The sequence below is a fragment of the Homo sapiens genome, chromosome 11 (genome assembly GCF_000001405.40).
Source record: "Homo sapiens chromosome 11, GRCh38.p14 Primary Assembly".
NCBI classification, from domain to species: domain Eukaryota; kingdom Metazoa; phylum Chordata; class Mammalia; order Primates; family Hominidae; genus Homo; species Homo sapiens.
In genome coordinates this window covers 68393319-68412324 of record NC_000011.10, presented here as the reverse complement: position 1 = coordinate 68412324, position 19006 = coordinate 68393319, and the positions used below count along the sequence as shown (strand labels likewise).

At 53.2% G+C, this 19006-nt stretch overlaps 1 protein-coding gene across 11 annotated transcripts in view, besides 1 other annotated feature; it reads right to left on the bottom strand.

Moving 5' to 3' along the window:
* The window catches only part of LRP5 (LDL receptor related protein 5), a 150864-nt gene that overhangs the window by 36951 nt on the left and 94907 nt on the right, over positions 1-19006 (bottom strand). For 9 of the 11 annotated variants that reach the window (XR_001747874.2, XM_011545031.2, XM_011545029.2 and 6 more), the window contains exons 8-11: positions 8626-8842; positions 5512-5801; positions 2185-2411; positions 705-889 (exon numbers count right to left, since the gene is read on the bottom strand). Coding sequence is in view for 10 of the 11 variants with exons in the window: in XM_011545031.2 (XP_011543333.1) it covers positions 705-889; positions 2185-2411; positions 5512-5801; positions 8626-8842 (919 nt within the window). In the remaining variant the exon portion in view is untranslated. Of the gene's footprint in view, positions 1-704; positions 890-2184; positions 2412-5511; positions 5802-7908; positions 8103-8625; positions 8843-19006 lie in introns of those variants that run through there. The other 2 variants (NM_001291902.2, XM_017017735.2) reach the window with 2 other exon arrangements.
* Positions 14793-15292: an enhancer, noted in NCBI's record as "H3K4me1 hESC enhancer chr11:68164501-68165000 (GRCh37/hg19 assembly coordinates)". NCBI's record gives its function as "activates a minimal SCP1, AML or CMV promoter by ChIP-STARR-seq in primed H9 embryonic stem cells {active_cell/tissue: H9 hESC(primed)}" and the evidence as "EXISTENCE:reporter gene assay evidence [ECO:0000049][PMID:30033119]".

Sequence of the window (19006 nt, the reverse complement as noted above, 5' to 3'; positions counted from 1 at the left end):
CAACTTGGCAGGGGGGATGGGGGTTCCTTTGTTAAGCACAGTTGCCCCTGTCACCTGCCATATCACCCAGGACAGCTAACTACTCTAGCAGAACAGAGTGTGCGGTCCCCTTTTCTGGGTTCAAATCCTGCTCCTGTTGCTGTGTGACTTGGGATAGGTTTTTTTCAAACTTCCCTGAGCCTCATTCTCATGATCTGGAAAAAGGAGATGAGAGCACCAGCCCTGGGGTCCCGGGCGTGTGGACACTCCCAGCACAATCCCAGCACATGGTGGGGTTCAGGGCTGGGTGGGGATCGAGTGCTGGCCCTGGTATCTCTGGGGGATCCTGAACTCACCAGCTATGTGACCTAAGGCAAGTCATGTGCTCAGGCCTCAGCTTCCCCAGCAATGAAAACCACCATGTGTGTTAGGGTGAAATTAGAGTCCTGGCACAGGGATTAGCTGGGACCTAGTGCCCAGCAGGTGCACAGGAAACAGCTGTCACCAGAGCCTCTCCCGACATAACTGCAGCAAAGGCACCCAGGGGTGGACGGGGACAACTCCCACAGCAGAGGGTGAGGCTGCTGGGCAGTCGTGGGTGTGGCCACAGCTCCTGCCAGGTTGGGGAACTTGCAGGCCACAGGGTATGTGCGGCGAGGCTGGGAGGTGGCCAACGCCCGGCTGCCCCGCCCTCCATGACCAGAAGGCCCCAGCCCGGCCCTCACCCAGCATGTTGGACGACTCGATCATGTTGGTGTCCAGGTCGGTCCAGTAGAGGCGCTGGTCAGCGTAGTCAATGGTGAGGTCGTTGGCCCGGCCCACCTTGTCCACCAGCGTCATGCAGTTGGTCCCGTCCATGAAGGCCCGCACGATCCTCGGCTTGCCGCCCCACTCGGTCCAGTAGATGTAGCTGGAAGGCACAAGGGAGAAGGGCAGGCTCAGTGAGTCTGCTCTCACCGCAGGACAGTGGGTGGCGGGGGGACGCAACTGTCCCCACCTCTTCAGCTCAGCCCTCCCCGTCCTGGAGAAAGCCACGCGCAGGAAGCAGGGAAGGGCGAGACCCTCGACCCCTGCCACACACATATCCCTCCAGGGGTGGTCACTGCGCCACCTCCCTGAATTCCCACAGTGGCTCACTCGTAAGGCGAGTAAATACCCACTTACGGACACAAAAACAGATGCACAGACAGGGTGAGTGTGTGCTGGAACATCCACCTAAGCTTGGCCGGATGTTGGGGACACGGCAGAAACCAGGATGGACACAAGCACATCACAAAACAAGACCTCAGGGCAGGGGAGGCCTTGCGGGATCCGGATGTAAACTCGGCTCTGGGCTCCTCCCCCAGCAGCCCCTCCTTCCCTCTTCTTTTAGCAGATCCAGAAGAGGAAATGCACATCCTCATTCCAGAATTTTCTAAGTTTGACCTGCCCTTGCTCTAAAACCTGGACCTCTTTCTGTTGTCCTGCCATCCTGAAGTCTTCCTTCCTTCCCTAGCAGAACAGGCGACAGGCAGGGATTGGGCTGCTGCACACATCACAGGTGCTTTAAGGGGTGAGCACTGTGTCCACCACACAGAAAAGAAAACTCAAGTCCAGAAAGACGCCCCACACATCTGGGGCCTGTCTGAACCCCGTGCCCAAGGCAGGGCCCCCAGGACGCCTGGCAGCTCAAAGCACATTTGCCTCTCGAGGTGGGTCCTAAGCTGTGGCTCAGCAGCCTCCAAGAGGCCATTTCGGAGGAGCCTGAGGTCCGGGGACCTCAAAGTCAGTTCTGGATCATGGTTTTGGCAAGAGTGCAAAGCAAGGAGACCTGGTCAGGAGCCTGAGACAGCACTTCCTGGCCCAGCTCTGCTCTAACTGGGTATGTGACCTTAGGGAAGTCACTCGGTTTCTCTGAGCCTGTTTCTGCATCTGTAAAATCGACACAGATACCCACCCTACGCAGGCTCCATGGACACTTCGGTGAGACGGCCCAGGTGAAAGCAGCCAGCACTGTGCCTGATACAGCCTCAGCACCCGCTCCACGAAGGAACTCCATGACCTCTGAGGGCCCTACCAGTCCTGGCCACCATCAAGGCTAATGACGTCAGTACAGCTCTAATCACCGAGGGCCACACGGACAGCCTGCCACCTTGCCCAGTTGGCACCCCCGCACTGTCTCATACGAGGTGAACACAAGGACGCACGGGACAGGCAAACACTTACCCCTTGGTGGGATCCAGGGCCAGCGACCTCGGGTTGTCCAAGTCCCTCCACACGAGGACTTGCCGGAACTGCCCGTCCAGCCGCGCCACTTCGATTCTGTTGGTCCCAGTGTCGGCCCAGTAGAGGTTCTTGCCCATCCAGTCAACGGCCATGCCCTCGGGGTAGTCAAGGCCAAACTCCACCACGTGCTCCACCGAGCTCCCGTTCATGAAGGCGCGGCTGATGGTCTGGCAGCAGGTGAGGAGGAAAAGGGCCACATTTTAGGAACCAGCATCTTTTTTTTTTTTTTTGAGACGGAGTTTCGCTCTTCTTGCCCAGCCTGGAGTGCAATGGTGCGATCTCGGCTCACTGCAACCTCTGCCCCCTGGGTTCAAGCGATTCTCCAGCCTTAGCCTCCCAAGTAGGTGGGGATTACAGGCACATGCCACCACGCCTGGCTAATTTTTTTGTATTCTTAGTAGAGATGGGGTTTCACCAAGCTGGCAAGGCTGGTCTCGAAATCCAGACCTCAGTTGATCCACCTGCCTCAGCCTCCCAAAGTGCTGAGATTACAGGCGTGAGCCACCACGCCAGGCCAGAACCAGCGTGTTTTGTAGACATCTCCCGAGATGCTTGGCCACTGGCAGCAGCTACTGAACACATTCTGGACCAGATCACCAGCATTCAAGTTTTTAAATGAATGTTTGAAATGCAGCAAGACACCTTTTTGGAAAAAGCAACTTGGAGATTTTATATATATTTTATATAAAATAATATAAATGTGTATTTATAAATGTATATTATATATCATACATTAAAAAATATACATTACATATATTTTAAATATATACTTATAAGTATGTATTATATATTATTTATAAATATATATTTTTATATTATATATTTTATTATATATTATATAATATATATTTTATATTATATATTATATATTTACTTATAAATATAATTTATAAATTTTATTTATAAATATATATTTTTATATTATATATTATATATTTATAAATATATATTTTTATATTATGTGTGTGTGCGTGTATGTGTGTGTATATATATATATATATATATATTTTTTTTTTTTTTTTTTTTTTTCCCCAGATAAGTCTTGCTCTGTCGCTCAGGTTGGAGTACAGTGGAGTAATCTCAGGTCACTGCAGCATCAACCTCCTGGGGCTCAAGCAATCCTCCCAACTCAGCCTCCTTGGTGGCTGGGACTACAGCTATGCACCACTACGCCCGACTTATTAAAAAAGTTTTTTGTAGAGATGGGGTCTCACTATGTTGCCCAGGCCGGTCTCAAACTTCTGGGCTCAAGTGATCCTCCTGCCTCACCCTCTCAAAGTGTTGTGATTACAGGCATGAGCCACTGTGCCCGGCTGTAACCAGCACACGCAAAATAAAAGAACAGTTAAGCCTAAAAGCAAACATCTGTGCAGTGGAGTATTTCATACATTTAAAAGATTGTGCCAAAGAGTTTGTCACAGCGCCATCAAATACCTGTTGTAATGTCAAGTGAAAAAATCAGGATACAGAATTCTGCGTAGCATATGACTGTGATGAAGAGAAATGCTATCTTAGAGAAAAAAGACTTAAAGGCAATATGCTGAGGTGTCAGCAACGGTCGTCTCTGGCTGGAGAGGTTATGGACAATTTTTACTTTCTTTTTATACTTTCCTATATATATTTTTTTTTCTACAAAGAACCCTTGTGACTTAAAGTCATAAAAAATCTTTTAAAGCTATGTAATACAAACAGTAGAATAGGCTGGGCATGGTGGCTCACGCCTGTAATCCCAGCACTTTGGGAGGCTGAGGTGGGTGTTTGAGCCTAGGAGTTTGAAACCAGCCTGGGCAACATGCGGAAACCCTGTCTCCCCAAAAAAAAAAAAAAAAAAAAAAAAATCAGCCAGGAGTGGTGGTGTGTGCCTGTAGTCCCAGCTACTAGGGAGGCTGAGATGAGAGGATCACTAGAGCCCAGGAGGTCGAGGCTGCAGTGAGCTGAGATTACACCACTGCACTCCAGCCTGAGTGACAGAGGGAAACCCTATCTCAACAACAACAACAACAACAAAAAGCAGAAAACAAATCATAGAATAATAAATGAGCAAACATTGTAGTTGTCCAATACTTTAGAACAGAGGTCAGCACACTTTTTCTGTAAAGGGGCGGATGGCACATGTTTTAGGCTTTAGAGCCCATACAGATCTGTCACAACTCATCTCGGCAGAACAAAAGCTGCCACAGACAATCCATAAACAGATGCGCTTTGGTTACACCAATCAAACTTTTTTTTTTCTGAGACGGAGTTTCACTTTGGTTGCCCAGGCTGGAGTGCAATGGTGCCATCTCAGCTCACCACAACCTCCGCCTCCCAGGTTCAAGCAATTCTCCTGCTTCAGCCTCCTGAGTAGCTGCGATTACAGGCAGGCGCCGCCATGCCCGGTTAATTTTTTTTTTTGTATTTTTAGTAGAGACGGGGTTTCTCCACGTGGGTGAGGCTGGTCTCGAACTCCCGACCTCAGGTGATCTGCCCACCTCGGCCTCCCAAAGTGCTGGGATTACAGGTGTGAGCCACCGCACCCAGCCACCAATCAAACTTTCTTTACAGAATCAGAAGGCCAGCCCACAGACTAGTTTGCTAAACTCTTCTTTAGAAGGCAAAAAGTTTTCCTAGGCCGGGAACGGTGGCTCACACCTGTTATCTCAGCACTTTGGGAGGCCGAGGCGGGCAGATCACCTGAGGTCAGGAGTTCAAGACCAGCCTGGCCAACATGATGAAACCCTGTCTCTACTAAAAATATAAAAAAAATTAGCTGGGTGTGGTGGTGCATGTCTGTAGTCCCAGCTACTCAGGAGGCTGAGGCAGAAGAATCGCTTGAACCTGGGAGGCGGAGGTTGCAGTGAGCTGAGCTCACGCTACGGTACTCCAGCCTGGGCAACAGAGTAAGACTCTGTCTCAAAAAAAAAAAAAAAAAGTCTTCCTGTATTTGTCCTGGATGTTTACATTTGCACTATAAATGAAGAAAGAGTCTGCTGAGCAAACGGGCACCGACAAGGGAGTGGGTGGGGTGTCTGAAGTCAAGCTCAACGGACAACAAATATTTCACATTCACACAAGCATTTCACAAAAGCCCTTATGTGTGTCTACCGGACTTGCTCATTATAATCATCTTTTTTTTTTTAAATAGGCTTGCTCATATTTGATTAGCTTGAACTGCGTTACAATAAATACGATAGTGCTTTAAGAAAAGTGTCTGAAGCCTTTGAGGCAGGAACAGAGGCAAGGTTTTCCCATAAAGGCTGCCTGTGTGCACGTTCTGGCCCACGCTACCTTCAGGCTGACGTCTGTCCAGTAGATGTGGTTGTTGGACACATCAAAGTCCAGGGCTGAGGCCTCCTTGACGCCCGTGAGCGGGATGGCCACGTCGTTGTTATTGGTCTCGAGGGAGATCCTGTGGATGGCGGCTCTGCTGGTGAAGACCAAGAAGGCCTCAGGCACGATGCAGGTCTTCATGTCACTCAGCAGCTCCAGGCCGATGGGGCAGCCACACCGGGTTGCGTGGGGTGTGAAGAAGCACAGGTGGCTGCACCCCCCGTTCCTGTCCGCACACGGGTTGGTTCCTGGAAGCGAACACAGAGGCTCCAGTCTAAACATCAACAGCCCAGCAGGGAAAGGGGTGCGGCCAAGCCACACAATGAATGCTGCCGTGAGCCACACAGCTCAGGGGTGCCGAGCTCAGGACTCACCCCCGGGTCAGGTCCGACCTCATGGCTGGGTTGGCCAGGCTAAACCCTCAAACACACACGCACCTTTCACCTGAAAGCCAGGATGTGCCAAAAGCTCCAATGTGCACAGCTTTATTCCCGCCACACATCAAACAGGGACAGTAGTGGGGGTGGTGGGAGAACACCTGGCAATGGCAACCAAGTTCTCCCCTGGTACAGCCAAGGGTATCAGTAACAGCAGTGCGGGCTCTGACTGGACCTTGTCAGGCGCCAGGCACTGGTCCCAGGGAGTCACCTGTCCGAACTCACTCCATTCACCTTGGAGGTAGGAGCTATTCTCATCCCCATTTTTCATTCAAGGAAACTAAAGTGCAGCAAGGCTGCTGAAAGGAGCATGGTCAGGAAGTCAGGGAGCAGCTCGGCAAGAGTGCCAGCCCAGTGGTCCAGCCTCCGGGCCTGCGATCTGGCCCAGGAAGAAAGCAGTGAACGCCTCAGGGCAGGGACCAGGCAAGTTGCCCCTCAGGGCCTTGGCTCCTGAGAGTCCCAGCTAGGCCCTTCCTCCGATTCACAGACATTCCCAGCAACCCTGAAAACTCACATTGGCCCAGCATGGCCAAAGCTGCCTCTTTTTCACATAGTACAGACCGTTCGTTTATTTTTGGCCAGTCTGTTAATTTCACTCATCAACCAAAGTGCTGTTAAAATTGGCTTTAATTTAGTGTTAAATATTTCAGCCAAAAAAAGAATCCTTTTTCCCATCTCCTTTAGCAAACCACGGGGTGAGAGGGGAGGGGGAAGAAGCCCAATTTCTCAGCTTTAAATCACACCCCCATGGAGGCACCCTTTTGTCTTATCTCTGGGGTTTATTTTTTGTTCTTTGAACAATCACTCACAGGTCAGTCTCACCTTCCATGGTGGATAGTAAATGCTTTTTTTTTTTTTTTTTTTTGAGACAGGGTCTCTGTCTGTCACCCAGGCTGGAGTGCAGTGGCATGATCTCAGCTCACTTCAACCTCTGCCTCCAGACTCAGGTGATCCTGCCACGTCAGCCCCCTAAGTAGCTGGGACCACAGGGATATGCCACCATGCCGGGCTAATTTTTTTTTTTCTGGTAGAGATGAGGTCTCTCTATGTTGCCCAGGGAAGACACTCTCAAATTTCTGGGCTCAAGTGATCCTCCTGCCTCAGTCTTCCAAAGTTCTGGGATTTCAGGCATGAGCCACCACACCTGGCATAAATGTTCTTTTTTTTTTTTTCTTTTTGAGACAGAGTCTCGCTCTATTGCCCAGGTGGAGGGCAGTGGTACGATACGGGCTCACTACAACCTCTACCTCCTGGGTTCAAGCAATTCTCCGCCTCAGCCTCTCGAGTAGTGAGATTATAGGCGCGTGATACCACACCCAGACTAATTTTTTTTTTTTTGGACTTTTTTTTTTTTTTTTGAGACGGAGTCTCGCTCTGTCGCCCAGGCCGGACTGCGGACTGCAGTGGCGCAATCTCGGCTCACTGCAAGCTCCGCTTCCCGGGTTCACGCCATTCTCCTGCCTCAGCCTCCCGAGTAGCTGGGACTACAGGCGCCTGCCACCGCACCCGGCTAATTTTTTGTATTTTTAGTAGAGACGGGGTTTCACCTTGTTAGCCAGGATGGTCTCGATCTCCTGACCTCATGATCCACCCGCCTCGGCCTCCCAAAGTGGTGGGATTTCAGATGTGAGCCACTGCACTGCCCCGGCCCCAGCATGAACGCGTTTTTAAAGGAGGCTGGGAAAACTAAATTCATGGATTGCATCCCCTACATGAGGACTGCAGGGTGCGATGAAGGCCATGAAGGAAGCACTCACTGCTCCAGGGGTCGCCCACACTGCCTCAGCTCCAGGCTTCCACGGGGCTGTGCTTTCTGCCCCAACCTGCTCCCTCAATTCCCAGCTCCCTCGTATTTTAAAGCCGGGGATCTGACATCACATCCACCCGACGGGCAGCAGAGTCAACCCGGGCATCTCACCCAGGACTGCAGGCAATGCAGCAGCAAGCATCACGTCCTCTGTCCTCTCATCCTTCATCAGCAAAGATTGACTGAGTGCCTCTGACAAGCAGGTGCAGTGTGGGACCCCGGCAGGACACAGAGTCCCTGCCCGCGAGCCCCAGGCCTGTCCCTGCCGCACCTGGATGCTGCTCTCTCCAGTGTAACTCTGTCACCTTTTCAGGAAGAGACAAATCATTGTGCCAGACAACGACCTCCTCGGGGAGCGTCCTGAAGATCCTGGCTTTCAGGTGGAAGGTGCACATGCGTGGGCCACAGGGGCAACAAGCACAGCCCAGCCCAGGCAGACCCAGGAGGGAGTCCTGAGCTTGGCACCTGTGAGTTGCACGGCTCTGCGTCCTGCTCCCCAGTGCGAGTAGGGCAAGGAACTACATTTGCAGACGGGGTCACTGTGGGCACGAAGGCTCCCGGCCAGGGCCGGGCACACAGCAGGTGCTCAACAAATGTTAGTCACTTTCTAACCATTGTTACCGACATTCCTAGTCCATAACCACTCCCTAATCAGCTCCCTTGGTCCCTTCCCATCTGTCCTTGGCCAGATACTGTCACCTTTCCTGTCCTGCCCTTCCCCAGGTCGGGGCACCTGAGCTCAACACTTATGCCCAGGCATGGACCCGTCACTTCCTCCTCATGCAAGTCTGCATGGCTGAGCCATGGCTTGGGACCCCCCGGACTCACCGACGACCTTGGCCACATTCACAGCTTTGAGCCCCATCAGGTCGGGCAGCTGGTCAATGATGACGTCCCGGCTGGCCTTGACCTTGTGCACCCGCTCGATGCTGCGGCGCTGCCAGTCAGTCCAGTAGATGAAGTCCCCCAGCAGCGTGAACCCAAAAATGTGCGGGAGCTTGTCCTCCAGGAGGGTCCGCCTCTTCGTCCCATCAACATTGATCACCTGCAGGACGGCAGAAATATAGGTCTGGATGGGCCAGGGCCACACCAACGAGAGCCAACCCGGACCCTGCCTGGGGCCTGAGCTGCCCCAAACAAGACGGGTTCAATGCCCAAGAGCCGCAACTTTACCTGCACCTTGCCAGGTACCATAAAACACCAGGTAGCATGGTTCCCCAGGGGTGCTGGATAAATGACGCTTTGTTTGTTTGTTTTTTGTTTGTTTGTTTGTTTGAGATTTTGAGACAGCGTCTCACTCTGTTGCCCAGGCTGGAGTGCAGTGGCAAGATCTCGGCTCACTGCAAGCTCCACCTCCCAGGTTCAAGCGATTCTCCTGCCTCAGCCTCCCGAGTAGCTCGGATTACAGGTACCCGCCACCACACCTGGCGAATTTTTGTATTTTTAGTAGAGATGGGTTTCACCATGTTGACCAGGCTGGTCTCGAACTTCTGACCTCAAGTGATCCACCCTCCTCAGCCTCCCAAAGTGCTGGGATTCCAGGCGTGAGCCACCGCGCCCGGCCATGATGTTTTCACTAGGATGCCACGTCCCCAGCTGATAGAGCAGTGACAGGGCCAGCTGAGGATCCCTTTCCCATAGCACCCCCTACCTGTGCTGGGATGAGAAGCAAGATTTGGAACAGACCAGGCAAGCAGGTGTCCTCTCCCGAACCACTGCAGGCTGACAGGCAGCGGCTGCCTGGAGAACCAGGGCGTGCTCCGCAGGAAGGAGTCCTGGGATCAATTAGCAATGCCTGCCCCAGGTGCAGCAATGGGCGGAGGGCTCCAGATCACACCCACCACACAGAGCAACTGCAGGACCTGGGGCAGGACCTGGAGCAAATATAAGGACCTGGGGCAGTTATGAGCAACTGCAGGGCCTGGGGCAGGACCTGGAGCAAATGTAAGGACCTGGGGCAGTTATGAGCAACGGCAGGGCCTGGGGCAAAGTTCTCCCGCTTCTCTGTGAACTCATTTCCCGCTGGGTCAGGGCCGGATGAACTCTGAGGGCACTTCTGGTTCTAAGTCTGAGCCTGCAGGTCTCAGATGCTTTCCACCCTGTCTCCTCTGAGATGTAGCAGCTAAATATTTTTCTTGAAGAGTCAATGCTGATTAAAAGCAACCACCGCAAAAGCCACCGAGGAGAAAATACTGTCAAGGTAAAAACACCTGAACCAACGGAAGCATACAGCCGCGTGAGATAGGACGTGGTTCTGATGATCCATGAGCCTGCAGAACTGTATGTTAACAGGAAGGTTGAGTTAGGCGCAACATCCAAGTTCTCCGGCTCTCAGGACAGGATGAAAGAGACACAAGGCCATTAAAGGCAAGCTTCCACAGGCCTCCTGCTACCAGATTACATTTCCAGCTTACCAGAAAAGCGACAAGTCCTCTGTTTTGCAGGTGGCAAAACTGTAAGGCAGATGGAATGCATGTTAAGAAACAAAGACTTCGGTCATCTGTTGTTGGATGGCACAGGACAAAGCTGCTAGGGCCAGGCACAGTGTGATCCCAGCCTGTAATCCTAGCACTTTGGGAGGCCGAGGCAGGCGGATCATTTGAGGTCAGGAGTTCGAGATCAGCCTGGCCAACATGGTGAAACCCTATCTCTACTAAAAGTACAAAAAAAAACGAGCTGGGCATGGCGGCACACACCTGTAATCCCAGCTGCTCGGGAGGCTGAGGCAGGAGAATCGCTGGAACGCAGCTAGCGAAGATTGCAGTGAGCCGAGATCATGCCATTGCACTCCAGCCTGGGTGACAGGGTGAGATCTTGTCTCAAAAAAAAAAGCTGTTAGGAGAGCGGGAAGGGGACTGGAAGCTCTGGGACCCAAAGCCAGGCCCCGCCTCAGCTCTGCCCCCAAGGGGCTCTGGGTCCTCGGCAAGTCCTTGCACCCCCATGGGTCTCAGTTTCTCCACCTGTAACTGAGGGGCTCAGATTAGCCCAGTGGCTAACGTCACAGAAGAAACAACAAAACAGCAAACAACGGCCTGGCCCCAACCTGGAGCAATTAAGTCAGAATCGGATAGCCCAGGGCCCAGGTATGGTATCATGATAACAGCTCCCAACAGGCGGTTCTGATGAGCAGGCGGGCGGGAACATGGTTAGACCAGCCCCTGCGACCGTGCCTGGAAGTCTGAGCTCTCCACCCATGCCTGGATGCTCCGGTGTGCAATGAACAGCAGGTGATGGAGCCCTGGTCCCAAAATCATCTAGGGTTCTTCACATTTTTGCCTCCACAACAGGAAGACACGCAAAGGCCATGAATGCACACACCTGTGTGTGACACTCAGAAAACATCTGAGGGGTTGGCCCCATCCCAGCAGCACAGAACCACTCCAGGGAGGGACCCAGCCCTGGCGTACAATGAAGAAGTGCAGGCTTCTCCAAGGACACCCAGCGTGAGAGGAGGGGCTCACAGTAGCGGGCGAACCCTTTCCCCTTCTTCCACTCACAATAACAGGGCTGGGGGAGGGACATCGGCACAGAACACAAACACCACAAAGAAAAGAATCAGCATTTAGAAAAAGAAAGCAATCCAGGTTTCGATCTACCAAAAGGTCACTATTACCTCTTAAATTTTATTCTATTTTTGTAGAGATGGGGTTCCACCATGTTGGCCAGGCTGGTCTCAAACTCCTGTGCTAAAGCAATCTGCCCATCTCGGCCTTCCTTCCAAAGTGCTGGGATTACGGGTATGAGCTGCCACACCTGGCCAGAGGTCATTATTTTTATTTTTTATTTATTTATTTTTTTTGAGACGGAGTTTCACTCTTGTTGCCCAGACTAGAGTGCAATGGCGTGATCTTGGCTCACTGCAACCTTTGCCTCCCAGGTTCAAGCGATTCTCCTGCCTTAGCTGGGATTATAGGCAGGCGCCACCATGCCTGGCTAATTTTGTATTTATTTATTTATTTATTTATTTTTAGTAGAGACGGGGTTTCTCCATCTTGGTCAGGCCGGTCACAAACTCCCGACCTCAGGTGATCTGCCCGCCTCAGCCTCCCAAAGTACTGGGATTTACAGGCGTGAGCCACCGCGCCCAGCTCAGAGGTCACTATTATCTCTTGGAGAGATTTTTCTCTTCTTGCTCTATTTCCACACTTTCTTAATTTTAATACCAAACTTCCAGACATGTTGAACTGAAGTGAGGCAAGGAAGTCCATTTCCCTGGCTTCATTGAAGAGCAATAAAAAGGAGCCCACAGAGGGCCCAAGGCAAACAAGGGTGCTGGGCAGCGGCCGGCAGCCACTTCCTCCCTCTCTACCCTTGCTCCACACTCCCAGGTGGCCCCAAAACAAAGTGAGAGGAGGCGACGGGCTGTTCCACCCGGCTGGGGCTGGCTGTAGCCTCGGCAAGCGCAAGACGCTGGCTCTGGGCCGGCAGGGCCTGCGGAATCTCCTGGATGGGCAGAGCCTCCCACAGAGACCCCTATGGTGGCTCAGAAGCCACTCCCTGAACCTCACCACTTGCCACCTGGATTCCAGAACCCAGGACACTCCCCCAAGCCCCCTACTTTCCACCCAGATCGCAGAATCCCAGGGCACCCGGTGGACCCGGCCAACTGGGAAAACATCAGGCTTGCAATGAGCAGCTCTCAGTTGCTCTAATACTGGAGGAAGGAATCCCAAAGTGGCCTTCTGAGGACAACTTTCAGCACATCTTGACCGGCCCAACCCATCGGCAAAAGCCACTCTGCTGGGTCAGGCCTCCCCCAGACCTGGGGCAGGTTCCCTCTGGGCCGACTCAGGAGGCCTCTGCCTTTCCTGGAGCCAGATATTTCCAAGAATGCCTGAGCCGAGCCAAGCCTCTGGGCGTCAGGGGACAAGATGCAGAGAACGTGCCTGTCCTGGCTCCTGGGAGGGAACAGAGCCAAAACAGAGTTCAGAAATAACAGGGGCCAAATTTAGGACACCCAGGAACGCCAGTGCCGGAAGAGAACTTGGGAGATGAATTTTCCAGGACAGAGGTCAGCAAACTTTTTTGTAAAGGATAGAAAATATTTTCAGCTTTCAGGCCATAAGGGTCTCTGGAGCAGAAAGCAGCATGGAGAGCACGTGACTGAACAGGCATGGCTGTGTTCCAATACATGTTTTTTGGTTTTTTTTTTTAAAGAGGCAGGGTCTGGGCTCTGTCACCCAGGCTAGAGTGTAGTGACACGATCTTGGCTCGCTGCAACCTCAAACTCCTGGGCTCAAGCCATCCTCCCACCTCAGATGCCTAAGTAGCTGGGACCACAGGCGTGAGCCACCACACCCAATACTTTTTAAATATATATTTTTAAGAGATAGGTTCTTGCTCTGTCACCCAGGCTGGAATGCAATGACATGATCATAGTTCACCTCCTGATCACTTGAGCCCAGCCTCAAACTCCTGGGCTTAAGCGATCCTCCCACCTCAGCCTCCCAAATCGCTAGAGGCACACACTACCACACCCGGCAAAACTTTATCAGTGAAAAAACAAAAACAGGCTGGGCTCCGTGGCTCGAGCCTGTAATCCCAGCACTTTGGGAGGCCAAGATGGAGTTCCAGAAAAGCCTGGGCAACATAGAAAGACCCTGTCTTTACTAAAATTAAAAAAAAATTAGCCGGGCTTGGTGGCACACACCCGTAGTCCCCGCTACTCAGGAGGCTGAGACAGGAGGATCGCTTGAGCCTGGGAGGTCAAGGGTACAGCGAGCCATGCCATAGCACTGCACTCCAGCCTGGGTGACAGAGCGAGACCCTGTCTCAAGAAATTATTTATGGACACTGAAATTTGAATTCCATATAATTTTTTTTTTTTGAATTCCATATAATTTTCATGGGTCATGAAACCTCCTTTGGCTTTTTTTTTTTCAAGTAATTAAAAAATGTAAAACCCACTCAGCTTGAGCATGGTGTGAAAACAGGTGGCAGGGCTGGATCTGGCCCGGGGGCCGTAGCTCTCGACTCCTGCTCTAGTTCTGTGCACTTGTTTTTCAGGAAATGAAACTAGACCCGAGAGGCTGTGTCTGAGGACAATGAGATGGTCCAGCCAGAGGCCACCCAAGGGTCCAGCCCTGTCCTCTCCGAGCTGCCAGCTTCTGTCCCATTCCCAGGGTGAGCAGAGCAGGCGCACGCCCCCCTGACCAGCACACCAAGGAATGGGCCGGCCGCCGGCTGCCAGCTGGGAGGGAATGACGGGAGATCCCAAAGCAGCCCACCCTAGCTGTGCTCTGAGGGGCAGGGCTGCTGCCGTCCTGCAGGCTGACTCTGGACAGTCGCCTGCTGTGCAGTGTTTTTATGAAGAACCCTGTGTTTCCTCTGACTCGGCTGTGCAAACAGACATGAGCCCAAGACCCACCCTCTGACAGCACGTGTTTAAAGGGGAGAGTTCTGTTGTCTGAGGGAAGAAGTACCCCACTCTGTTGAACACAAAACCCAAAAGGAAACAGCAACAGTTATCTTGCTTCATGTAATAAAAAAAGATCTTATACACATGTGCGCGCACGCAAACACACACACACACACACACACACACACACACACACAAACACACACAGCTCTGCAGTGCCAAAGCCCAGGGATATAGCCTCTCCCCAGATCCCTGGGAGCACAGTGCAGCCAACAGACCCTGTCCCATCACTCCCGCTGTAAGTGATGTCACCTCCACCCACTTAGCAAAAGTCAGGGGTGCCTGTCAAAGGGCACGAGGTTTGGGGGTCACTCCTGACCCAGACCTGGTACGTCCTGAGTCCCCGTCAGGGGTCAGCACGGAGACCCCAACTCAGGCTGGACCTCAGAGGGTCTCTGCTCTGGGAGACCAGGCCGGCTCACAGACAAGCGAAATGACAATGATGATGGTGATGATGACGACGGTGATGGGAACTCGGGCCAACCGAGCGCACAGACCCTGGAGGGGCATACAAGGGCCACAGCTTCCAGCCTCCAGGCAGGGACCAGGTGTCGCCATTTGGAAAGAGGACCTTCCCTGGAAGGCCAAGGAAGCAGGATGTCCCCACCATGGCATACGGCTGGAGTGACCCCGGCTTCCAGGGGAGAGGGCCGGGGGCAGCTGGGCACATGGGGCTGGGGTTCGGGAGAGGGCTGGGCTGTCCCTCCAGCATGAGGGCACGGCCAGCGGGTGGGAAGAGTGGCACTGGAGCGTGGGCCTCAGAGACCCACAGAGATGCCAGACCCTGCCACTTTCACACACAGCCATGTCTTGTGGCACAGGATATAAAAGCCATGGCGGGGCAGAGGAGAGAAGGGCAGGGTAGAGGGGAGAAGGGCAGGGCAGAGGGGAGACGCTCCCAGCCAGGCCTTCCCCTGGCTGAGCCCAGGTGGGCGGGGAGGCAAGAACGTGAGGGCTTGGTCCTGAGGGGACATGCTGGAGGCTCACAGGAGAAGCTGAGTGTGGCTGCAGGTGTCCCAGGGGCCAGAACTTCCAACCCCCGGGGCTCTAGACTCAGGAAGAGGGCTAAGGAGGTGTCCTGGGGCAAAGCCAGCACAACACTGGAATTCCTAGCCCAGGAGGCTGGAAAAACGGTGAGAAGAGGCAGCTATGTGAAGCAGAAGGGAAGTGGGGATGCAATCAGGGGACCTCAGCCCACGACCACTCGGGCTTCACACGTGGTGGGGCAGGACTCGGATGCGGCTCCAAGCAACCTGTAGGTGTCAGGACTGCCCTGGGTGGGCCCCAGCAGGTGGGGAGGGTGCCCAGGGCTGGAACCACCGCCACTCCCAGCTGTCACTGATGATGGCAACAGCTGGTCGCAGGATGGGGCTAAAACCCTGTGTGTGTCAGTCAGGCTGCTGGGGCGGCCTGGAAGCTGATTCCCAGGACAGCTGTCACAGTCAAGGCCAGCAGGAGGGGCCTCCCAGACCCATCCGCCGTCTCCGCTCCACTCTGTAAATCTGTTGTGGGCGTCTCTAATGCCATCTACATGAAACCTCATTTCATAGACCTTTGTTCTTCTCCCAATTCATCAAGGGATCAGCCACAGCTGCCCGTGAAGTCCTCTCATGCACTGGATGCTGAAAACCTGGAGCCTGATTGTGTTCAAAGGCAGAGCCCGGCTAGCCCCGCAGAAAGCACCTTCCTCCTAGCGCCCAGCTCCACACAGCCCAGCTGCGCACACCACCACGTGGAACGGAATCCTCTCTCCCACCACTCCCCAGCAAAGGTGAGCGGCAAAACACGTCCAGGGCTGGTGTGGGCTCCTCAGCACCTGGGTTGGCCACCTTGTTGCCTCCCGACATAGCATCTTAAAAATGTTCCCATTGTTCCAAATGTGTCTCCTCCCTGACCCCATTTATACCTCCCCCAACCATCCCTTCCACCTGGAGTCCAACTGCATCCTCAAGGAGCCGTGGCTCCTTGCACCTCAGCTGTCCCCAGAGTCCCCAGAAGCCACCACAACCCCAGCAGCAGCCACTGTCCCCGCCATTGCCTGGGACACAGCTGGCACACACTGCGTACTCAGCGGGTGTTTCCTGAACGAGCCTGCAGGCCCAAGACCCTCATGTGAGATGGGGGTCCACAGCAGGAACACTGGCGCATCCACCCCTGAACAAAGTGCCAGGAGGGTTTGCTCCTGGCGCTGGGCAAGGACCTGAGAAGCAGCCATGACTCGCAGAAGCCTGAGGACATACCCAAGAGCGGTGGCCACTTGCAGGAGGAAAAGACGCACCAAACTCCAGCAGAAAACACAGAGCCAGCATCTCCACGGGCACATCCGAGGTGTCCCGGGGCAGGAGGTGCCAGCAGCAATCTCGAGGCTAAGTCAGCTCTGGACGTGCAGGTGGATGGCAGGGCGGGTCTGGGCATCCACCTGCACCTTCCCAGAGAGTGCGCCACCAGGGCCACAGAGGGTAAAGAAAGGGACCCATGATGAGGTAGTCTGAAAACGCTTATGCAATGTATCCCCCTCTTAGAAACAGCCTGTGTAAGCATATAAAGGGCGCTGAGAAGGCCTGCAGTGAGGCACCCCAGCAGTCCCCAAGTTCTGGCCACCAAAGACACCCGTGCCCTGCGCCATCACTCCTCATCCTTCAGTATCTATTCTCCTTAGGCCCCCAGTGATGAGCTCCAAATCGTCAGGTAATGAGCTTCCAGTGCATGACCACAGGGTGGCCTGCTCCACGATCCCCCTTCTGCTACTGTGACGCCCCCCCACTTCAATTCCTCGGTTGGTCTTTTTATCTTTTTTTTTTTTTTTTTTGAGATGGAGTCTCACTCTGTGGCCCAGGCTGGAGTGCAGTGGCGGGATCTCGGCTCACTGCAACCTCCGCCTCCCAGGTTTAAGCAATTCTCCTGCCTCAGCCTCCCAAGCAGCTGGGATTACAGGTATGCACCATCACGCCTGGCTAATTTTTGTATATTTAGTAGAGACGGGGTCTCACCATGTTGGCCAGGCTGGTCTTGAACTCCTGGCCTCAAGCAATCCACCCACCTCAGCTTTCCAAAGTGTTGGGATTACAGGCGTAAGCCACCACGCCCAGCCACCTCGGTTGCTCTCAATGTGTTCCAATCTTGCTTTCCTGTCCTACCATGCTCAGAGGGTGTCTCTCCCTGGCCCATTTTGAAAGCCAAGGATGTGACCTCCGCCTGTTCCCTCTCTCCGCCCTTCTACCTCCTGACCTCCGTCCCTTCTGTGTGTCCAGCACCATGGCCTGTAAGCCTCATATTCCCTATAGCAACCCAGCACTGTGTATAGGGCTTTGAGGATGTACAGACAGATTCTTAAAGTGGGAAATCGGGCCGGGCGCGGTGGCTCACGCCTGTAATCCCAGCACTTTGGGAGGCCGAGACGGGCGGATCATGAGGTCAGGAGATCGAGACCATCCTGGCTAATGTAGTGAAATCCCATCTCTACTAAAAATACAAAAATTAGCCGGGCGCGGTGGCAGGCGCCTGTAGTCCCAGCTACGCGGGAGGCTGAGGCAGGAGAATGGCATGAACCCGGGAGGCAGAGCTTGCAGTGAGCCGAGATCGTGCCACTGCACTCCAGACTGGGCAAGAGAGCGAGACTCCACCTCAAAAAAAAAAAAAAAGTGGGTAATCAACACGCAGTGCTCACGTCATTGTGACACGAAGGCCCCAGCAAGTGTAGTTCCTGGGGGTGAGCTCCTGCGACCCCCCTGTTCCTGGACAGCTCCGCTTCCTCCTGACTGCATTTCTCTTGCTTTGTCTGACTTTGCCAGACCCTCTGAGTCTTCTAACTTCCCAAGGACAGTATGGAGAATCTGGAATTCCTTCCTTTCACCTGAGACACCTTCCCCATTCCCCAGAACCCCCTGTCCTACTCCAGTCTGGACCACTGAGATATAAAGTGACTTCAGGACCAAACCACAGACATCGTGTATCCAATGTGGACAAAACGCTCCTGTTTTGAGCTTCGGTGTTCTCATCTGAAAAATGTGGGAGCACCCTGGGCTACATCCACAACACTAGGAGGCGGTAAGGATTGGAGCTTGGTCGGCTGTGGGGTCAGACGGCTCAGAGACCCCCTGCTCGCTGTGTGACATGACACAGCTGCTGTTCCCTAAACCTCATTTCTCGTTCGCAAATGGGGACTGTGCGACGTATCTCAAAGTGCTGAGGTGTGGCAAGCCTGGGACAAGACGCTCAGCATCCTAGTTATCAGGGAAATGCGAGGCAAAGCCACATGGGACACCCACTAGGCTGGCTGTGATGAATGTTTTAATAAATTTTTATTTATTTTTATTTTTGTTTTATTTTAGATGGAGTTTCACTCTTGTCACCCAGGCTGGAGTGTAGTGGCGCGATCTTGGCTCACTGCAACCTCTGCCTCCCGGGTTCAAGTGATTCTCCTGCCTCAGCCTCCCAAGTAGCTGGGATTACAGGCGCCCGCTGCCACACCCGGCTAATTTTTATATTTTTGGTAGAGATGGGGTTACACCATGTTGGCCAGGCTCGTCTCGAACTCCTGACCTCAGGTGATCCGCCCGCCACGGCCTCCCAAAGTGCTGGGATTACAGGCGTGAGCCAGAGCACCTGGCTGAATATTTTTTTAAATGGAAAAGAAGCGTTTGTGAGGAGGTAAAGTCAGAACCCTCACACACTGCCGGTGGGGATGCAGAACGGCGCAGCCACTGTTGAAAACAGTTTAATGGTTCCTCAGTAAGTCAAACCTAACATTACCATAGGACTCAGCAATCCTACCCCTACACATATATCCAA